Source organism: Homo sapiens, chromosome 5 (genome assembly GCF_000001405.40).
Source record: "Homo sapiens chromosome 5, GRCh38.p14 Primary Assembly".
In the NCBI taxonomy this organism is placed as follows: domain Eukaryota; kingdom Metazoa; phylum Chordata; class Mammalia; order Primates; family Hominidae; genus Homo; species Homo sapiens.
The window spans coordinates 153,488,728-153,511,908 of record NC_000005.10 but is presented as its reverse complement, the minus strand read 5'-3'; the positions used below and the strand labels follow the sequence as shown (position 1 = coordinate 153,511,908).

The following is a 23,181-nucleotide window of genomic DNA, read 5'->3' as shown; positions in this document are numbered from 1 at the left end:
ACGAGGAAAAGAAGCATGGCAGCAAGGCCAGCCTGAGCCAATTTGGCAAGTGCCTCCCCCGAGTCTGCCAGTTCTTTCTGAAATCACCGGCAATTCCTTGTTCTGGGTAAAACTGTTTAGAGGACTGGCTCCAAAAATTGACAGGGAGCCTGGAAGAGTAGGAGGCCTTGGGTGACGGTCAAAAGTTCTGTGTTAGCATCGTGACCTGGCTGCTACCTGACTGCAGATAAATCCCTGTGTATGCTCTCAGCCTTAGTTTCACCATATGTAAAACAGGATTAAACATCACAAGACATTATTCACAAATTCAGCAAAAAGAGTTATAACTCAGGGTCCCCAGATTGTTGGGTACACACAATGAGAAATTACACACTTGTAACTGTTGCACCTTGAGTTCTTGTTTCAAAAAAAATTCCAGGAAGAAGCCCAAAAAACAAAAACTGGTTGAGATGCCTGAGTTGGAGATGAACTTTGGTGAACTCCCTTTATTAACGTACTAAAATCCCCATCCAGAGATGAGCTTATTCAACATTTCCTATACATGCCACAAGTATAAAAGCATGATCTGTGACTGCACCTGCACCTGCACTGCCTTTACTTCACCTCTACATACAATGATTCAGCCAACCAGGTCAATAAAAGCCCTGGGTTCACCTTTATTTGGGGAGGCACTGCTTTGGGAACTATGCTCAGTGTCAGCCATCCTTACTTGTTGCAAGTAATAAAATCCCTTTTTAAAATACTCCTTGGTTGTGGTCATTGATCTGTCACTCACCAAGCAATCAGACCCGCCTGTTCTGTGGGCTACAGAGGGACTAAGTTTGGAAAATACATACTGTATCCTCTTTTTTAGAAATTAACAAGACACATTAGCATTTTAAAGGGTCTTCAAAATCCTAAAACACAGCACCCCTTATACTTTGCTTAATCAGCATGACTAAATTTATAACCATGCAACCTTCCCTCATCACCCCCAATGCTCCCCAAATAACCTATTAATATCCTCAGAACATCACAGTTCTAATGGGAAGCACTGACTAAATGAGCTCCTAAAACACTTTAAAAATGAACCCTGTAGAGTTCATTGTGTAGAAATGTGGATATTCTGCATCATTTGATGTCAGGTAACTTTATGTTTGCTGAGGATTATTCTAGTACTTGCTAAATAAAATCATCCTTTATTTGCTTATAAACAAGACCTTTGGAATATCAACAATGCAACTTAAACATATTATTTTGTCTCTCAAATACTTATTCCTGACCTTCAAAGCCTTCTCTAGTCTGAACCCAGCCTATTTTTCCAAATGTATCTTGCAGAGCTCCGGAGAAACCCTCCTGCAGATATCCAAACTCATCATGTTAACTTTTCACCTCTTTCATGCACTCTTTTTCAGCGATTTCACCCCCAACCTTTCTGTTCTCATCTGCAATCGCAGACAATCTCTGTTCACAATGCCCGCTGGATTTACAGGATACTTATGATCAAGGCAACTTTAAACTAGGATCAACAAAGTCATCTCACTAAGGCAAGAAAGCTTGAAAAGTACATGTCGGAAACTGTCTCAATTACAAATGTTACCAAAAAAAAAGTCAGGTTCTGATTAATCCTCAGTTTTATCCTAAAATTCACTTTCCCAGAGCAGTTCATTCCTCAAACACTTTAGTCAACATTGCCCTATATTTCACTCCAGCAGCAACTAGCTATATATTTAGTTAAAGCAGTTTGTCTTCTCGCTCCCAAATAAGTGCAGGACCAGATTTAAATTTTATTTTATTATTTTAAGGCAGCTGACTCCAAGCAAGACCTCGAGAACTAAAAAGAACCATCTTGGCAGATGGTAAAAGGAAACAAGTAGCAAAGTGGCTCTATTTTGGGGTTTTGTTGTTGCTGTCATTTTCAGATCAAAGAGACTTTAGATCTAGAGATCTCCTTACTAAATTACAAAATCCCATCCAGAGTGTTTTTATTCTCTGTGCCCCTCATTTCAACAAGAACATTGAATTTTCTGATGAAGACTCTGGAGGGCATTTCCAAAGAAGCTTGTCATCACAAACAATTAAATTGAACAAACAATAATAGCTCTCATTTATCGGGTACTTACTCTATGCCAGGCCTTATGCTAAGCACTTTCCAAGTTGATCTCCTTCAATCTGCACAACTGTAAAAGGAGTGTATGATTACTGCCACTTTATAAATAAAAACCAAGGCTTTGAGAGGTTAAGTCAATTATAAAGATCACACAAGATCCAAAATGAGGATGATATCTCCAAAGTCCTTGCTCTTAACCATTGTATTGCCCTGGAAATATTTATTGAGCCTATTCCCTAGGCAGTTGGGTTGCAAATACAAATAATTTTATTCTCTTGCCCTCAAAACCTCAGAGTCTTAACAATAGATAAAACCTCTCAAGAACAGAAGGTAGAAAGTTGAAATGGGCCAATAAAAGCAGCACAAAAAAGAGAGCCAGTGAGATAAGAGAAAAGGAAATCAGCTGCAATTGAGGGAGGGAGAAGCAGCTTCACAGGGCTGTGGTAGCATCTGAGAAGCACTTTGGAAAATGGTCTGTTTTCTTTACCCCATACTTTACTTTCATTCTCTCACTAAATCCTGTGCATACTTTCTTCAAAATACTTTATGAATCTTACCTCTTTCATCTCTTCTACTAACACCTTTTCCAAGCCACCACCATCTGTCATCCAGACTATTGTAGGAACCTCCCCAGTCCCCTCTGTGTTACATTGGATATTGTTATAAAATTACACATCTATGCCTTTTGTCATATGACTTTGTAATTCCTTTTAGAAGACAGAGTGTGTTTTCTGCCCCATGAGCATTAGGTTTAGCTGCATACCTTGCTTGAACCAATGGAATATTAGAGAACATGACATGAGCAGAAGCTTTAAATATATTTGCATGATAAAGCTTAGCCTCTTGTGCTCCTGGAAAAGGAGAGCAGGTCTTTTTGTAGCTGCTGCCCCTTGACCCTCAATACCCAAACAAAGACACATCGGGCAGACCTGAACCCTCCTGGAGTTTAGCCTTAACCTATCCTACAGTGTAATCAGAATCATGGTTGACCTACAGACTGCAGCCTGCAACCTGCAGATGTGATTGTTTTTTAAAAAAGCTTTTGTTATAAACCACTGAGATTTTGATGTTATTTGTTATGCAGCAAAAACTGACTGACACATACTGTTTTCATGTCAATTTATCACTTCTCCTTCCTCCACAGAGGAGCCACAGTAATCTTTTGAAAATTAAATCAGATCACTACACTCCCAAGCTTAAAATCCATTAGTGATTTTATTGCATTTAAACTCCATGTCAATTCCTTATCATGACTTACAAAATACCCTGTCTCTTTCCTCAGCATGCTTTAGCTCCACTGGCCTTCTTTCTGTTCTTTGAATATACACTCACTCTCATTTAAAGCCTTTATGCTTACTGTTTTTTTTTTCTTGTCTGAAATATTCTAGAATCTAGATTAGCACTGTCTAATATGACAGTCACTAGCCACATGTGACTTTTTAAATTACAATTAATAAAAATTAAATTACATGAAAGATTTGGTTCCTCAGTCATGCTCACTACATTTCTAATGTGTAATAGGGGCAGATGTTGCTAGTGCCTACATATTAGACAGCACAGATATAGAATGTCTCCCAACACTGCAGAAAGTTCTATGGATTGCAACAAGGCTCAGTTAAAATATCATCTCTTCAGGTGATGCCTGTCCTCCCTGACCACCCATCTAATGTAGCACTACAGCTCACTCTCTGTCCCATGACTCTATTTGGCTATGTTTGTATCATTTAACTAGTATTTGAAATCATTATATGTATTTGTTTCCCAGGACGTAAACCCCAAGGGTACAGGGAGTTTGCTGGTTTTGTTTTCTGCGGTATCTCCAGGGTTTAGTAGAGAGTGGGTGCTCAATGTGGTAGAGACTATTTCAGATGGAATCAGTAGTATGACCAAAGCAGTGAAAGACTGAGAGGCATGTTTGTGGCAACACTAGGTAGTCTAGTTTGGCTGGAACATAGAGTGTAGGGTTTAGGTAAGTCTCAAAAGGAAGGCAGGCAGAGACCCATTATGGAGAGACTCATATTTTAGTCTGAGTTTGAACTTAAAATAAGATGGGAAGCCACTGATATTTTTTTGAGACAAGAAGCTTGATGATCAGAAATAGTCTTCAATAAATTGATCCGCCACCTGTAAGTGGATTATATCATGAAGATGACAGTCAGAAGGCAAAAGCCATAATCCAGTGGGAAAAGAAGAAAATGGGGATAGACTCGAGTCATAGTGGTGGTGAAATCAACACATAATATTGATTATATGGAGAAGTTGAAACCAGACACCCACATTTTAAGGCTGAATGATTGAACAGAAATAAAGTGAGAAAAGAGCAATGAGTTTGGCAGGAAGGATGCCAAGTTCTGGTTTTGATATGTTGAACTCAGAATGTATAGGCTGGAATCCTGGGGAAAGGGTAGACGCTAGTGAGAAAAAAGGAGCAGAAGGAGTGAGAGAGGACCCCTGTGGTGGTGTTGAGGAGAACATAGCCCCAGAAAGCTTCATTCTTGCAGGGGTATGTGGGGGTGGTGGAATGTTTGTGGGGGTTCTTGGAAGGGGTGTGAAGACTTCCATCAGCCCTAGGCTGCAAGAAACAAAGACATAAGTAGCTGGATTTGCTGATGAGAAATTCTTCCATAACCCTAGAATACTTGGTTCATTACATCAACATAGAAACCATCTTTTATTTATTTATTATTATTATTTTTTGAGAAGGAGTCTCACTCTTTCTCCCAGGCTGGAGTGCAGTGGCTTGATCTTGGCTCACTGCAACCTCCACCTCCCATATTCAAGTAATTCTCGTGCCTCAGCCTCCCAAGTAGCTGAGATTCCAGGTGTGTGCCACCATGCCAGCTATTTTTTGTATTTTTTAGTAGAGGCAGGGTTTTGCCATGTTGGCCCGACTGATCTCGAACTCCTGGCCTCAAGTGATCTGCCCGCCTTGGCCTCCCAAAGTGCTGGGATTACAGGTGTGAGCCACCATGTCCAACCATATTTTAAAGTATTCAGAGTGATCTTGGAGTAAGGAAGAAGAGCTAGTAAGTGCAGTGTAAGTTAAATAATTTTCCCAAAGCTAATAAACTACTTGGAGTCTAAATTCCATGCGGGCGCTGTGAGCTTCCTGTCCCCCAACATTCTTGCTTTTCAGTGTCTGGAGTGAAGATTAAACAGAGGGCTTGCATTAGATGTTCTTTGTTCTCCCTTGTAGGTGTGACACCTCTATAGCCTTTACCAGATAGATTAGGGATGCTGGAGCTTATCCTGCTTGCTCAAGGGAGACTCCTTTCTAATTAACCACCTCAATTAACAAATGGAGCTTGGCACAGAGCTAAGATGAAGTTCTTCAATTTAACATTTCCTTCACACATAATTTAAATCTCAGCATCCTTTTTATAATCACACACTTGGAAAGGGATCTAGAAGCCATCTAGTTCATTTTCCTCCTCTGTGAAAGAATGAATATATGTATGAACACACACACACACACACACACACACACACACACACACACACACCCTTCTTGCCATCCTAATAAGCAACAACTCTTGAGTATTCTGGAGCCAAGCCAAGAAGTATAGCCAATTCCATCACCTCATGGTTAGGAATGCCCTAGCATACCTCCCCCTCTCTGCCTTGCTATGCTCAGTGGCTTCCAATGCCTGAGACCATCTAGTCTTGGCAGCAAGTGATCTGCCAGCCCTTGACTTGCACATGTGATGTGGTAGAGAGAAGCTAGTATCTGCCCTAAGACAAGTGAGTGACCTAGTTTGCAGGAGATTTTTCCAGGGCACCTCATTCTCCTCTGCCTAGACCAAGATTCTCAATCCAAGTTGCCCATGGGGCTGGATTTCGACATTCCACAGGGGAATTTACTCTCATTTGGCTCTCTTCCAACTTTTATATCTGAGCTCAGAAGTCACCTCCTTTGAAATGCCTTCTTTGACCACTTACTTTAAAGGTGTTCTTCTCTACCATAGTGGTGATGTCACTACATCCTATTTTCTTTATGACCCTAGTAATGATCTCTCTCTATATATTTTATTTGTAAATGTATTCATTGTCTATCTTCCTAGCTACAATAGTGCTCCATGGAGACCAGGACTATGTCTGTCATTTCCAATGTTCCCTCAGTGCCTAGCAAAGTGTGGAACACACGCTGGTTGCTTCTATTGGCCAGCTATTGCTGCAAAACAAACCATTTCCAATTTCAGTGGTATATAACATTGAGCATTTCCTACAATGCTCACAGATTTTCAGGTCAGCTGGGATAGCTCTGCTTCAAACTTTAGTCTGTGGGCTGTGGGTTGACTGGGACACTTCTACTTACTGTATTTACCTTTCCTATGAGACGAGCAGGCTCTCTGGGGCATGTTCTTCTCATAATCTCTGCTTCAAACATATCTACTAATATCTAAGTTGCCAGAGCATGTCAAATGACCAAATGTGACATTAATGAAGCAGGAAGTTATATTTTTTTCCCAAGGAGTTTGAGGGAGAGAGAAATAATTGCCAAATAATAATCTCATCTACCACGATGCTCCACAAATATCAATTATTGAATAAACAAGTGCACCTTCCCCCAAATCAGTTGACCTTTGTAGCTAAACCACTTTTCAATCATTACAGTCTTGTGCCTCATCAGTGTTAGTCTTAGGATATCAGTCCCCTGTAAATCCATGACCTATGTAAAAGAACCATACTGCCCTGTTTGCCTTGGACAGGAGCCAGCTTGAGATCTCTGCTTGTTTAACAGAGGTTAAAGCCTCCTTCATTTGATCCTGGCTCTCCCTGTCCCCTCTTCAGGTATAGGGAAGGTTTCGTTCCTGCCAAAAACTAGAGGGGATGGAACCAATTAGGAGAACCTACCATCTGGTGGTGTGGGCTCATCAGATTTGCAGCCAAGATTCCAACTGGGACTGTTAAAGAGTTTGTGCACAATAGCTTGAGTGTTTGAGTAGAGCAGGAAATGTCCTGGTCACTGGGACAGAGTATTGGTGCCTCAGGATCACCAAACATTTTACAGCCGACAACCTCAACTTATTATCAGAGTGGCCTGGAGAGACCACCTCCCAGTCGCTTCTATGTGGGTGAATGGCTAGCACTTTCTAACTGTTCTGTGAACACAGGTTTGCTCGTGGCTGGACAAGGATTACCAAAGACCCCTACAGCTTTGATTAACTCAGAAGCCTGAATTTCAGACCTTTTGCCTGTCCTGACTTCTGATCTTGACTTACCCACCAGAATCCCTTGTATGTGCTTGTCTCATTGGTGGCTCTTCTGACTTTAGCATGTTGACTTTTTGTCTGCATTGGTTCAGCTCCAGCCTGTCTGAATTTTCTTTTCTGAAAAGATGTGCAATGGGGGACATCTATATATAGATAGAATATATATATAGAGAGAGTAAATGTATTTATTTACAATAAATACATAAAATAGACAATAAATACATTTACATCTATATATAGATAGTGTATATATATATATGCTTAATAGACAAAAATATATATATATATCTATTTTGCCTCTCAAGCATTCAATCTCCATTCTTTTGGTAATAGCATCCTGATTCCCTTTGAGGGAATTATTCCTCCCCCATGTCCGTATGGTTTTGGTGGGCTGGCTTAAATCCACAATCTTTTGGTTCTTCTCACTACCCCAAGCTCTAAAAATGATGATTTCACTAGGCCCATGTCAAGCAAAAGACTACAATATCCTGGCCACTGTGTCATATTCAGAAATGAGCATGTGTCCTAAGTTTTATCCAATGACATCAGGCCCAGGACTTTTGTGGAACTGATGAGAAAAGAGAAGTTTCCTTTCCACTGGACTTGTAGCTGGGCAGGTGAAGGCTGCCAGTGCTGGGATCTGATATATGACATATCTATGCCTGAGAGTAAAGCCAGTTTAGAGAAAAGCTAAGCATAAAAATCTAGAGGGCATGTCTCAGTCCTGATGACATCAATCAAGCCCTTGAATTTGGCTATACCTGAAGTTAAAACTATCCAGTTAGTTGGGTTTCTGTCACTTGCCACAAACAGTCCTGACTGCTTACTGCTCAAATGGGCTTTCCCCCTTATTTCTATAAACAATAATTTCTTAAGCCAAAGAAACTCTTATGATCCACATATTTCGTCCATTTTCATGGATTGAATCATAAATGAAAAGAAATGCTTTCAGACTTAGCATAGCTATATATTTAGATCTTGGATAAACTTAGCCTTAAGATTTCAATTTTCCCTATCCATAAAATAGATTCATTTATGGGTAATGAACACCTTCCTAGGAAAACACTAAAAATTAATTAGTTACATTTTACTTATGTGCATTTATGCTAATAGATAAGAAGCCTGGTTAATTATATTACCCTGCGTTTGCCTAGCATGTTTGATTTTTCAAAGCTCTTTCATACAAATAATGGCACTTGCCTGTTCTAATAAGTTTGAGAATCAGGTATTAGCACCCCATATTATACATCTGGAAACTAAACTGGATATAAAAGCTTTTCAAGGTTACACAGCAAGTCAATGTCAGAACTCACATTAAACAAGTTATCTCAAGTTCTGCACATACTAGAAATTTTATTCAATTTCATTGGAAATTGTTCTACTGGGTTTATAGTTCCCTTAAAATCACAACAAAATATGTACAAATGATTAAAATTTTATTGAGAGAAATATCACAGCACTGTTTTTAAGAAAAAAAGGGAAATAAACTAGATATCCCATAAAAGGAGACAGCTTAAATAAATTAGGGTACATATGTACAGTGGGCTTTTATGAAACCATTAAAAATGAATGTGCAATAATAAAAGTAGCCTAAAGGTTGTAATATGCAAAAAATCATGTTATAAGACAGTAAGATAAATCTATTAATGTTTAAATTGTTAGGTTCAAAAAAGGATGGAAAATGTATCCTTAGTACTATAATTATACAAGTTTTATTGTGTTTGCTGTCTCTGTTCCTATAGCTTTCTGTAATGTATATATTACTTTTGTAGACAGACTAAAGGCTATTCTCAAACTTTACTTTCATCCTAGAGGTTCCAAACAATGAACACATGGAAACACGCCTAACCATAGGGTATCAATTTCATTAGCCTCCAACTGCCTCATTTGCCCCAGTTTTGCCTGCCTCCTCAACCTGGACCTCCCATGGCCCTGGGCTCCCCTGTGCTTTCTGGACAGCAGGCTGGGACACACCAAAGTCGTAAGATGCATACAAGGCTCATACATCAATGGCAAACCCAGGGCTTGAATCAGAAATTCTTTATTTAGAAGATGGAACCTTATACCTTATTTAGGACCCCTCATGACAATAGTCCAGCGGGAGCTAAAATGAGCTTTCAATTGGACTTACACCTGATTTTCACCCCCATAACTTTGGAGCTACACAGTAATAACCATCCATAGGTATTTACAGCACAGCCTGTTGGAACTCTCAAAACTCATAATATCAAAAGCATTACCCTAAGCAGCAATGATTCAGGCTTATTCTTGTCACTGCCATCTATTCTTTCATTCATCTAGCACCACTGAACACTATACTGTGGTGGAGACTGTGATGGGAAGCTAAAGTAAACAAGGTCATTGACCTCACATTGCTTAGTCCAGTTGGGCAGGTAAGACACGTGTTCAAGTGACAAGGTGAGTAAAACCTGGGGATAAGCGTGACCATTGCTAGGGAGATGGTAAAAACAGCTGAAGGGCAGAAGAGCATGTGAATATGAAAGAGAAAAAAGGCTCAGTGAAGAAGGTAAAATAAGAGCTAGGGCTGACCAGAAGGACAGAATTTCAGCAGAGCAGTATGGAAGGAGCAGTTTGTAAGTGTAAGTGAAGGAAATGGCAGTGTGAATTTGAAGACCACTGAGTTGTCTGATTGGAACAGAGGCTGAGCTTCAGTGCTATGTATGTCTTCCTTGTTAAAATAAATGAGGACTCTGAATGAATCCCTGCCTCCACACAGCCTCACCAGTTCTCCAGGCACTGCACTGGATCAGCCTCCAATCTCCAGGAATGCCCATGGGCACACAGAGAGCCACATACCATGACAACGCACCCCTAAACCAAGTCATCAGCTTCCCTTTCCCCTGGCCTCTGTCCCCATCCTCCTGCCCATCTGCCAGACTCCATCCCAAACTGGAGATGGAAGTAAAGAAACAAGGCCATTGAAACACAAGCCAGACGTCTTCAGCAAATGTGAATTTGGCAAAGTACTATCAAGCATCTGATTTCTGATGAGAAAACAGAAATCTAAACACGGCACTTCTCTGCTTAAAACCCTTCCATGGGTTCTTTAGTGTTTGAGCTAAAGATCAAAATCCATAACAGAGCCTACAAGGCCTGGCCAGGCCTCTGCCCAGGAAGCTTCTCAAACACTCCTCCTGTTCCCATCACTGCATCACCAAAGCCTTCAGTCCTCAGCTCAAGCACCTATTCATCCTCCTGCACGAGCTGGTTCCTTTGTATATGCTTTCATAGAATCATGGCCCTTTCTTTCAGATTGTTTATTACAACCTATACACTCATTCATGTGATCATCTAATGGCAGCCTCCTTTATTAGCTGGTGAGCTCCATGAGCACAGGGCTGCTTTCTAGTTTTGTTCACAATAGTAAGCACTCCATAAATATTTGTTAAATATTGAATGAATTCATCTGAGGCCCCAAAGTAGGCATAATGCTTCAGCATTTGCATACAGAATGCGCCCTGAATGTGCAAGTTGGTGGAAGGGAAGTCTAGAGCTTTCCTTAGACACTTAGCTTGTTTAGGGATCCTCTTGCTAGCCAAAGGTAGAGAACTTCTATTAATCATATATCTCTGGTGTTTTCCATATGCTGCCAGCATAGAAATACAGCCCCAGAAGGACTCTCAGAGACCATGAGCTTCATTTTATAAATAAGCTTGGGGGAGGGGATGTTTCTCCAAGGTTATACCTAAACGATTCAAGAAGGTAGTCCAGCATTTGAATCCATGTCTTCAAATCTCAACTCAGTATGCTATTTACTGCATCAAACCTGCCATTACAGGAAGGTGTGTGGGGTGTGTGTGTGTGTATACAAATATATACATATATATTTTCCCATCTACATCCTACCTATCTTTCCAAATTCAACTCAAATGTCCTTGTTTTATGAAACCTAAATCCCTCCAACTAAAGGTTTTCCTTCCTTCCTCTGAATGTGTGTGTGTGTGTGTGTGTGTGTGTGTGTGTGTGTGTGTGTGTATGTAAGAGGGGGAGAGAGAGAGAGAGAGAGAGAGAGAGAAAGAGAGGCAGATTTGGTTTATGCCTATTTCCTTTATAAGAACCTGAGCCCCTTAAGAGGAAAATCAATGCCTAATGCATTTTATTTTTCTCAATTTCTAGTGCAATGCCTTGTAATGAAAAATGGATTTCATCTCTTGCATCAGCTGTCACCAATTTGAGGCCACGTGTAGATTCAGTGGGAAAAAATTCTGTAATCAACTAATGCTGTCTACAAAGGTATGGAGTGGGGCAGTGACAGTACATATCCCCATAGAAGGTGATAATAAAAGGGTTTCGGATGAATGAATGAATGAACAAATACATGAAGCTTACCAGTTTTCCAAATGTGCTATATGATCACTTTATCCTGAGTGGCTGAGAGGAGAGCAGTAAGCTCACTCATCCCAGCAGGATCTTCAAACTAGTCAGGGAAAGAAATGTTTACAAGGATTTTTCTATCCATAAAAGCTGATGATTATCAATATTATAATAAGAGCCAAGAGTCAACCACAGACAAATGTCAACACTTGTGTGCCTTAATGTAAGGGCACGGGTGAAGATTGAGGAGCCAACTTCAGACTGTAACATTAACCAGAGAAATGTAGACATCTGCCATGGAGCTGAGAACATAGTGTGGTGCAGGAGGCAAACTCCCAAATCTCCACCACATGGTAACAAGCATATGCAGCAGTGGTTGAGGGGAGGCGAGGAGGAATATTGTGACTTTACCCACTCAAAATACCCTCCTCCCACTCCACAACCAAAATCTGCTCCACCCTTTAATGCCTGCTAAAGTTCCACCTTCCCCAAGAAGTTTTCATCATCCACAGTCATAGCTTCTGCCTTGGAAGACTTAGCTCTTAAGCTTGAATCATAAATTCCACTGTGACACTTCTACCGTTGGGCTATTTCACTGCTATGGTACTTTTCTCTGTCCATATATTCATAGTTTTTTTTTTTTTTTTTTTTTTTTTTTGAGACAAATTCTCGCTCTGTTGCCAGGCTGGAGTGCAGTGGCGTGATCTTGGCTCAATGCAACCTCTGCCTCCTGAGTTCAAGCAATTCTCCTGCCTCAGCCTCCTGAGTAGCTGGGACTACAGGTGCGTGCCACCACGCCCAGCTAAGTTTTTGTATTTTTAGTAGAGATGGGGTTTCACTGTATTAGCCAGGATGGTGTCAATCTCCTGACCTCATGATCTGCCCACCTCGGCCTTCCAAAGTGCTGGGATTACAAGTGTGAGCCACTGCCCCTGGCCATATTCATAGATCTTTAAAAGGAGAATGCTCATTGAGTTTTGGAGCCCCCCAAACTGGCTTTAAATACTAGCTTAGGTTTTTATTTGTTGCATAATATAAAGAAGACACAATCTCTCTCAGTCTCAGTACCATCATCAATGAAATGGGGATAATCACCTTTCAAGACAGTTATAAAACTTAAGACAACATCTGCAAAGTATTTGGCACATAGTAGGTCTTCAAAATAATTCTTGTTTATCCCACCATCAGCCACCATTCTCTTCATTACTGTATACACACTAATTTTTTTGAGAGTAGGAGTTATACATCTTTTGTGTCTTTTATTATTTTTGACAGGGTAAGTAATAGATATTATTAGAAGAAAATAATAAAATGATGAATGCTGACGATATAAATCAGGTATGAGTAGATTGGCCTACTTACAGGCCTGCCCAAACAACATAATTTGATTACTCTAGCAATCAAACAGGAAGTAATGGAAACTTTGGTTAACTTGGGAGTTTATGTATTTAAAAAGGGCAGCACTTCTCAGCTCTAGAAAATAGAAGTTAAGCAGGAATGTGGGCCTAGGGTTGCTTAATGCCCTAAGTTTTTTTTTTAAAGATGCCAGAAATCTGGATTTTTATGCCAAATATGAAAAAGCATTGTGTAGGTCAAGAAAAACAAATCTGTGTTGCAACTCTGAAGTTGATGAGCCATGTTCAGGCAAGAGCTAAGGCCATCTCTCTGTTGCCAGTGCCTAATGTCTTGTTAGGAAGCCCCTGGGCTTCCCCAGTAGGTCCATGACAGAGGGCATCCCACTGTAGTTAGGGTTGCTACCTTTCACCTATTGTCATTGAGGCTCTGAACATTTTTATGCTGTGTAATTCCCTGACTCCTACAGACATTTATTCATTTGTATTAGAGGCATTTCCAAGTGTTCTCAACACTAAACTATAGATATACATGGTCTTTCTGACAGCAGTTTATATTCTGGTGGTGAAGCTAACCTATAAAGACACAACACAGACAACATTGCAGTGCTATCAATCAGGGCTTGCAAACTCAATGCTTGCCAAAGCCAGCAGGTAAAGAAAATGGGAAGAATGGGCTGATTGGGAAAGAGGCCATGTAGATGGGGTTTACTCTGTCCCATCTCAGCAAATTGAGGCTGCATAGACCTGGGCCCTAGTGTTGCCAGATATTTTAATATTTAAAAATATTAGTCAAGACAAGATGTCCAAGTTCTAATGTGAAATTCCATGGTTCTTACACAGTGTATGGGCCCAGAACTCAGTCTCTGTGCTGGAACTGGCTTGTGGATGGCTATATTTGGTGACCCCTTCTGCAGATAGATAACCCTATTTATCGTTGAGGCTCAATTCAATCACCACCTCCTAGAGACAAACTCCACTCTTCAAGGAATCTTCAATACTCCATACAAATTGCTGCTATAGCACTTACAACATTACATTTTAATTTTCTCTTTACAGGATAGAAAATGTCTTACTATGGATAAAGTACTCCAGGGTGGGGAATGCAACTTACTGTTGTCTGCATTTGTAGCACTTTATGTCATGCCTAGGTTTGGTTGAGGGCTCAAAAATGCTTACTAAAGGGATGGAAGACTTTTTAGATTAAAGAGATTCTTAAAGTGTAATCCCCATAATAATTGCTATAGAATTCCTCCAGGGCCTACTCTTGAATATCTTGATTCAAGAAGTAAAAAGTTCATCATGAGTCTTGCTTTAAACAAGCTCCCTGAGTGAATTTTAAGTGCACTGAAGTTTGTGAACCTCTGGGCTAAACTGTTAGCTCCACAAGGAAAGAGGCTGTGCCTTCTTTCCTGGCCCCTATATTCCTAGCGTCTGGCCCAGTGTTTGGCATGAAGTAGGCATTCAGTATGTACTTGCTGAATGAATGAATGAATAAATAGGTGAATAAATTAAAAGGTAAGAATTAAGCTGCAACTATGCTACTCAGACCTCTAATAGTAATAATCTCAATCAGCATTTCATTTATTCCTTTATTTACACTTACCACAAAGGCACCAAAATAAGCTGGGTAGCTGATCAGTAAATATCTTCTCTATGCACAATCTCCCCAAACTCTACCCCTGTAAGCTTGGAAAAGTGCTTAAAGGAGATCCCAAGGCATTGGGTTGCTGATTCAATGGCTTTACTCTTTAACAATGGCAGACCAGGGAAGCAAGAAAGATTGAACACGAAGAAGGCACCAAACTCTCACCTTGGCCAGTAGTAGTAGCCATAGTCCTCTTCTATCTTCCCCACCTTCCCTACCATATAACCACCTCTCCTCATTTTTAGTCCCCTGCTGCTAACATGTCTAGCATGAACAGGTCCCATTACACTTCCTCTCCCTTCCCTTCTCCACCCTCTGGTGGAGGGACAATGAATAGCAAAATGCAAAGGGAAAAAATCAAATGACAGCAAAAATTATGAAAAAAAAACAAATAAAATTTGGTCATTTTCTAGATCTAAGACTTATTGGGCAGTTAATTTAAGGCAACTACTAATTCAGATTTCAAAAAACACAGCACAGAAAATTAGTCTGAATAAGATGCTTTTCTTGCTTTTCCATGTATCAGTAATGAGTACATTCTTCCTAAAACTGCTTTGCTCCCACTGACATTTTTTACTCAATTAAAATTGGGACAGATGTAAAGTTTTCCCAAACCAATGGACCACAGTGAACACAGCCCTAAAGTATTCCTAGCCTTACATGAAATTTAAGAGAGGCTCCTCCAGCCAGGCCACCATTTCCACCTAACTTGCCCAGTACCCCCTTTGGGATCTGGGAGCTAAAGAAAAGAAACACAAAGTCTAAGCACAAAATAAGATTATTGCTTCTCAGATAATCCCCATAACAATGTTTCCCACTAGACTGTAAGCTACCTGAGAGCAAGGGCATTTTATCATCTCTGTATTTCCAATATCTATTTCAGTTTATAGCTTTGAAGAAACACTTAAAGAATTAACTGAACGAACAAGACAGGAATTCATGGAAACCTGTACACTAGTTCATGGATGGCAGCATCAAGTTCAAGAACTCAGATTCATCCACTCCAGGCCTGTTGACCAAAATGAACAACATTGTCTGTATCATATTTCTGTCTCCCTAATAAACAGTCATTAACCCTATTAGAGATCAAGTCTTAGGTTGCTGAGATAACAAGACAGAAGCACCACCTTTTGCCTTAGAACCTTTTCTCCTATTTTTGTCTTTTATTTTCTTGCTGTGCCAGTCAACATCTTGACACTACTAGGAGAGCAGTTCACATCTCTTTCAACCAAAACCTGCTGTAGATATTTCTCAGCAGCATGAGTGAATACACACACCAGCTATTTATTCTTGATTCTCTATGCAAGTAATACAAAAGCTATAAAGTATGACAAAAGCTATGGAGCCCTGCTCCAGGAAATAAATTAGCACATGTATATGCGTTTAAACATTTATAGGTACACTGATGCCCCCAACCAAATGCCCCTTCCAAAGACCCTAATCAAAGCCACATTAAAAAGTAAAGAAAGGTTATCTAATAGCAAAATAGCTACTCAGTATTATTCTAGATTCCCAGAAAGATAGTTTCATAGAACTAAAATTCAGCAATTAAACTTCAGCTATTTTTTTAAGGGTAGTGAGTAACACAGTAGATAAGATTTTCAACCTCAGCATTACCAAAATGAAGAATTGCTATTTTATTTATTCAATGGACCAGTCCTGTGCAAATCATAGCTACAGTTTGAAACACTGTAAGTTTTTCTCCTTAGGTACTTTATTAGACCTCTGCCTTACAAGACCCTGAAAATTCCCTTTCATTTCTTGGGTAATCCCACTAGTTGATTAGGGTACCATAAGAATCAGTGTATCTGTCACAGTATCCAGGAACATGGACCTTCAGGTCTCAAAACCACCATTTGCTTCCTGAGTAACCTTGGGCAAGTTATATAATCTGTTGTAGCCTCAGTTTTCTCATCTCTAAAAGGAAGATAATGTCTAGTACTCTGCAAAGCTCCTGTGAGGATTAAATGAGCTAACACATAAAAAGCAATTAGTGCATTACATGGGCTGTAGTCAGTGCTTAATACATGGTAATGAATGTGACTATAAATGACTATAAAGTATTTATCATAGTTCTGATGCACAGTAAGTTCTCAATAAATGAAATCTGCTATAATTATAGTTCTTGGAATTTGTAACAACATTATTTTAGGAGTGGTCTTTGGGATAGAAAGAATTCTGACTTCTCATTTTGAGACTTCAAAGCATAGCCTATTCAAATCATTGAGAACTCACCAGTGGGACTATGAGAAAGACACAAAGGAAATATGGTCCATGACTTCCACCAGAGACAGCTCAGCAGAAGTCACCAAGTCAATAGTGACACACCAAGACTATCGTGCCAATTCAATCCAGTTTGGGGTCTCAAATTGTTCTTGTGAATTCAGCTCACATTTCCCTGCCATAAATTTTTACTTGAGCTTAATCCCTGAAGGGAAAATATGTTTCCTGATTAATTTTTATGCTTTCATCTGTCATGAAAAGCCAATCATGTGAGCACAGGCTTCCTTTTCATTCCTAGTTGCCAGGAAAACTCAGAATGGTGTTTGTTGCCCACATTTTACAATGCATTCAATTCAGATGTCAGAGATTTATCTATCCCTTCTTCTTGAGGCCACCTTTGTTCTGTTTGATGCTCAATGACCATCCTACAAACTGTGCCTTAAACAACCAATTTCCTCAAGCTATTTTTAAAATGACCAAGGCACCAAGTTTTAATTATTGGTCACTTCCGAAAATGAAGAACCAGATGTGTACAACTTCTCAGCTATTATTTCTTATCAAGCTACATTCTGTCCATTTAACATGTAGATAGGAAATGCCTTAAGCACTTTAAACCACATTTTCACAAACTCAGGACCCTTAATTCTATGCCTCTCAGAAGATTCGTATGTGTAAAACTCTCTCAGCTGTGCCAGAAAACCTCTGCAAGGTAGGGAAGATGCAGTCAACCCAAGCACCCATCGTGCTGGCATTAAAGTTAGCTGACAGTGAAAAAGCAAATCCATTACATGAAGCATTGCAGGGGCTAAAATGCCAACTGCTGGAATCACTCAGAAGCCTCTAGAAATTTTTCTTGGAGGGCTTTCTCTTACAAAGACGAATGGCAACTGAAGTCATTTTTGCAACACCACCACCTACCCACAGGCCCTCCTTTCATTGGTCTAGCGCAGAAAGACATCTCAGAAATAGAAGCAATTACTTACATCTATAGGTCATCTCAAAGCTGTCGCTGATGTTCACAATATCAATCTGGGGGAGCAGCTTCGGGGGCTCTGTGAGTTGCGACAAAGCAAATCTAAAAGCAGCATGTTCCTGTGACTGCTGGTTTGGAAATAATCCCCCTATGAGAAAAGAAAATGCAACATGGTATATGGGCTAGAGACAGGTTTTAGTTCCTCACGACTCACTCCAGATGAGTCCTTTTCTTCTCCCCATGCCAAACTCACTAGCTGTAGCCTTGAGTGGTAGAGATGAGAGTTCAAATAGGCTTAACTGGACACTGAAACTTAAACTCCTACAGATGAGCTTTTTTGTGACATGGGCCTCTAATATCTATTACTTTGCTCAAACATTTGATTGTGTACCCCTCAACTCAGCTAAAGTCAGAGAAAACAGGAGACTTGTGCCATTTCTCTTCTTCCTCCCTTGTGCAAACCACCTAGGAGCTGCTATTCTCTTATATAAACATACACATAAGCCCCCTCACCCTCTAGTCATGTCTAATTTTTCTTACATCAGCCTCATCTCTCACCAGAGAGCCTTACGGGAAGTAGGTACTAATCAGTGCTGCAGGGTGATTGAAATCTAGCTCTGGGACCCTGTGGGCTTCTCCACTACTATAACTGTTTACATGGACAGTTTTTAGTCTTTGGCCTAGCAAGACCTGCATGCAATTTAACTATTCTATTGCCCCTAAGGTTTATTATTCATTTTCTCTAAAAACTCTTGCTTTTCTGCAAACAATGTTTTGCTTACTCTTTCACCACACATGATCCCAGTTACCTAGGAATGACTTGTTACATAAGGGATTGCCATTGTGTGTTTGCATGGTGGAACCTTGTGCTTCAAAGATGTGGGATCTTAGGCATCTCAAGAGGATACAAACATTCTATTCTAGTAAAAGGTATAGTAAAGGTGCCTGATGGGATGCCTGTTCCGAGAAACAAGAGTCCATGGCTTACCTTTGTATTTACTGTCAACATGTAAATCAATTACATTTCTGTGAATTAAAATCAGCCATTTCTAGAGACTGAACTATAATGATGTTTACATAGAAGTTTATCTCAAATCTGACAGTAATCACAGTCCAAACATAATGCACTTCTAACTTCTTGTAGAGTGGGTGTCTGTTTTTAAGAACCAATAAATGGATTGCAAGCCTTTTGTTACAGATCACACAAATAGAATCAAGTACTACCTGATGGCAGTGATATTTTCAGCATTTTGTTCTACAATTTAATGCTTCAATCTCTTTTTTTTTTGAAAACAGTAGCAATGGCTTTATCAGTTGAACAACCAAGTTAGGGCTAAATATAATTTTAAAAATATGCAGAGATACATGAGAAAACATAGCACATACATGAAACATCCTCATGCATTTATACCATTTACTATATACACAAATATACTAGACAAACACTTCCAAGCCACAAAGGATAGGTAGTATATAAGCACAAATGTAAACAATGCCACATGTAAGAGCCAGTGATTTCCACATGTACAAGTGCTCCCATTTTAAAGAATGAAAACAAAAAAAATTCTTGATTATGATGCTCCCCCTTCCCCCCAGATGACCACACCCCAAACACTTCCCTGTCCCCTTTCTCCTCCTCTGCAATGAATGAAAGAGAAAGGATGGGAGGTTGAGGAGTAGAAGGCTACGGGCTGGGCTACAAGGGAAGTGTCTCCCCTGAAGGCAGGAAGTTTTGCGTGTTAGGCACTAACACACAGATACGTACACACTTCAGGATGTAGCTTAACAGGTGTCAGGAAACAAAGCAAGTTACTCCATGGCCACTCCAAGCCGCCAGCTAGCTGGAGAGGCTGAAAGAGATGGGTACTGCAGCACATGTATGCCCGACAAAATATCAATTGCACCACATCCCCCCTCAAACACACACTCACAAAAGAGCACAAACTCCCAGCAATGCGAACTTTCCCTAGTGGAGCTATCTCCCTACCAGGGGAGAGAGACTAGAAACCAAACCAACGAAGATGCTTCCAAACACAGCAGCTTGCTTCATTCCGGGACACAAACGACACTGACATGCTGGTCACACGGAAGCCCCAAGCCCTTGTGGACATGCTTTGTGATTGGTGTTATTGCTTCTGTTTGTTTTGCTTTCCCTCATGATTATCAGGAGTAGCAATATCTGTCAGTCCCCTCAGAAATACAGGGAGGGTGGCGGGGCCTTTGAGAAGTGTAACAACTAAGAAGGGGAAATGGGGAACAAAAAAAGCATGCAGCATGTTGAAACCTGCCTCCAAGTTGAGAGGATGGAGCCCAGTAACAAGGATAATGGAGAGCCAACAGGAGGAGAAAGGAGCATGTGTACGTGTGTGTGTTTGTGTGTGTAAAAGGTAGACCTCTGTGGATAGGAAATCTAAGAGGAGGGGGCAAGGAAGGAACGGAGAAAAGGCAGGCGAGGAAGTTCCAGGATCGGGGGAGTGGAGACCACCAGCGCAGCATGGCAGACAGCAAAGAGAAGGCAGCTGGAGGAGTCCAGAACAGGAGAGGGAGCCTACCCGCCTTGGAGTGGGGGCCTTCTGGCATTATTTCAGTGGCTGCAATATACCCAGCACCCCTCACTCCTTCTTCTCGAGGGTCTCTTTTCTGTCCCCCAGCAGAGAAAGCACTGCCTCCTTCAATTACATATATATGTGCATATGTAATATATAATCACACACGTGAAAACACACACACCATACATACTTACATTAAAAATGGAATCAAGCACCATCTACCAAGCAATAGAGTTAACTCCTTAAACACCCACCACCCTTTCCAGCCTGATTTTTTTTTTCCTCCAAAGCGATGGTTCCTCCATTTCACATGCTCTTGCCTGGAGTGCGAGTAGGGTATGTGTGCGTGTGTGAACACTTCCCCTCTGCCCCTCATCCGATCAGGAGAAGCCCCCTCCTCTGGCTGTAAGCCCAAGTCTCCCTTCTGTTACCGCAGCACAGCTTTAGGGAGCCAAGCAAAACAGTCAGTACCGGGGAGGGGGTACACAACCCCTATCCCCAAAAAAATCCCTGGCCAGACCCAGAAAGTCCCTCCCCAGGCTGCCCCCTCACTCACCGATCTGGATATTGTTGGGGAAATTGGCACCTACTACCGCGCCTAGGAAACCGGTGCAGAAGAAGGCAAAAATGTGCTGCATATTCCTTTTTGCATTGGCGAAAAAGAAGCCCAGGTCCAATCATAGATTTGGTGTTTCCCCCCCTTTCCCTTTATTCTTCTCGCTGTTCTGCCTGTTCTTTTCCTCCTGCAGTTCCTTCCTTGCTTGCTTGCTTCCTTCCTTTCGTGAGGTTTGTCTGTTTCCCTTGGAATCCGAACACTTAAACTGCAGCGTTAACACCAACTGACAGCCAGATTAACTGAGCACGGGAAAAGAAGCCCGTCCTCATGCTAGCTGGAGCGCTGGCTCCCCCACTCCCTCTCCTCTCCCCTCGCAGCCTGCCTCTCTCTCCCTCCCTTGCTCTCTCTCGCTCTCCCCCTCACACTCACACAGGCAGCAAGCTCTATGCTAATACCCACCGAGCTAGCTTGGAGTTCCACAGCCGACCTCCCTACCTGTTCCCCCTTCCTCCCATCCTCACCTTATCCTCCTTTCTGTGTGTGCAGAAAGGTGGAGGTGGGGGTGTGTGACACGTGGCACTTGGTCCTGAAAGGGGCAACCCCACAGTCCTCTTTACCCTCCCCTGCCTTTCTGAGCTCGGTCTGCCCGCTCCCCCAGCCCCCAGGCTGAAGCTGCTGGGAATGTGGGTTCAGCTGTAAGTCAGTAGGTGGCAGGGGGTCCCCACAATAGTCCTCAATCCACCAGCTGCTTGATCTAGGTCACTTTTTCTAGGAGTGCATGGGCTGCGCTGGATATATCTCCTGCACTCCACTGGCCCAATTATTCCTACAACTAATTCCTGAGGGAAAGACCCTAGAAATCCCTCCTAGGAAATTTAAAGGAAAAAAAAAAAAAAGCTTTCTCTCTCCTAATGGAAGGAATGACAGATAGACAAACAAGGGAGGATCTGGAGTGACTGGCAGGTATTTTGACCAGGTATTTGACAGTCCCTGTCTACCTTTACAAGTGAAACGGTGGTCTCTTTTCAATCCTAGGCATTTAAAATGGGCCCCCTTCTCTCTTTCCCTGCATTCCACAGGAGTCTATAGCATCAGAATCGTGTGGGTGTACAATAAAGACTAAGGATACTTACACAGAGCAATTACATGAGTCATTTTGCAGGGATTCTAGTGAGAGGATTCAAGCTTCTTTCAGGTCTTTCTGGATGCTGGTCATGTCTGGTGTAAGCTGGAACTTCATAGACTCTCCTAGACCAGGGCTTCTGCTGAAATAACCTGTAGAGAGATCAGCTGTGTTCAGGATAGTAGTGTTAAATGCAAAGCAGCAGCCACTAGCCGCCACAGAATACAGTTTTTGAAGGAACTTTACAGATTTTTATCCATCTATCTTCACTCCAAACCTGTAAAGTGGCCATGAGCCCTGTTTTACAGATGAAAAAGATAAGACTTCTGGGATTAAGTCATAAAGACACAGACCTACTAAGATGTACAGTACAACCTACAAACTTGAGTGCTTTGGCCGTTACCAGTTGACTTACTGCCCTGGCCAGGACTCCTGTCCAACAGGAGATGATCCAGGAAAAGGAAAGTCAACTTTGTCTTTAGTAAGAAAGAAATAATAGACTTTGGACTCCATTTTGCTTTGCCATATGAATAGGCCATTTTATCCACAGACTCTTCACTTCCCTCACCAGGACTGTATATCATGTGGACTTGAGTGACAGCTACAAGGACTGGGATTTGTAAAAAATATCTGACCATGTACAATGAAGCCCCAAAATAGGAACAACTTGGAGGTCAAATGCTTTGTGATTTCCTATGCACTTTCACATATATTAATTAATTAGCTAAAATAATTTTTAAGGCTAATGTTTATTCACTATTTTGAATGTGCCAGGTACCATGCTAAGAAATGCACCTGCATCATTTATTTGTACAATACCTGTGTAGGTAGCCTCATGCCCATTTTATAGATGAAGAAACAGAGGTCTAAAAACTCACCCCAAGTTTTCACTGCTAATGAAAGAGATTGGGCATTTAAACACAGTAAATGCCACCATCAGGCCCCAGCTCTTAACTCTTAGGCTCTAATAACAGCAAGCACTGGGTAGGAACCTTCTAAAGGAAGAATAAGCATCAGCATAGGAAGATGAGAGAACAGAATCAGGAAAGATCACTTCTAAGGTCTCTGCCAACATTAAGAGTCTCTGATTTAATGATTCCATCTTTTAATTTCTCCATTT

At 41.1% G+C, this 23,181-nt stretch overlaps 1 protein-coding gene across 14 annotated transcripts in view; it reads right to left on the bottom strand.

Annotated features, from left to right (window-relative positions):
- The window catches only part of GRIA1 (glutamate ionotropic receptor AMPA type subunit 1), a 324,255-nt gene extending 301,961 nt beyond the window's left edge, over nucleotides 1-22,294 (bottom strand). For 5 of the 14 annotated variants that reach the window (NR_157093.2, NM_000827.4, NM_001114183.2 and 2 more), the window contains exons 1-2: nucleotides 20,939-21,239; nucleotides 17,844-17,981 (exon numbers count right to left, since the gene is read on the bottom strand). Coding sequence is in view for 11 of the 14 variants with exons in the window: in NM_000827.4 (NP_000818.2) it covers nucleotides 17,844-17,981; nucleotides 20,939-21,020 (220 nt within the window). In the remaining 3 variants the exon portion in view is untranslated. Of the gene's footprint in view, nucleotides 1-2,102; nucleotides 2,160-17,843; nucleotides 17,982-19,598; nucleotides 19,738-20,576; nucleotides 21,240-22,071 lie in introns of those variants that run through there. The other 9 variants (NM_001258021.2, NM_001258022.2, XM_017009392.2 and 6 more) reach the window with 7 other exon arrangements.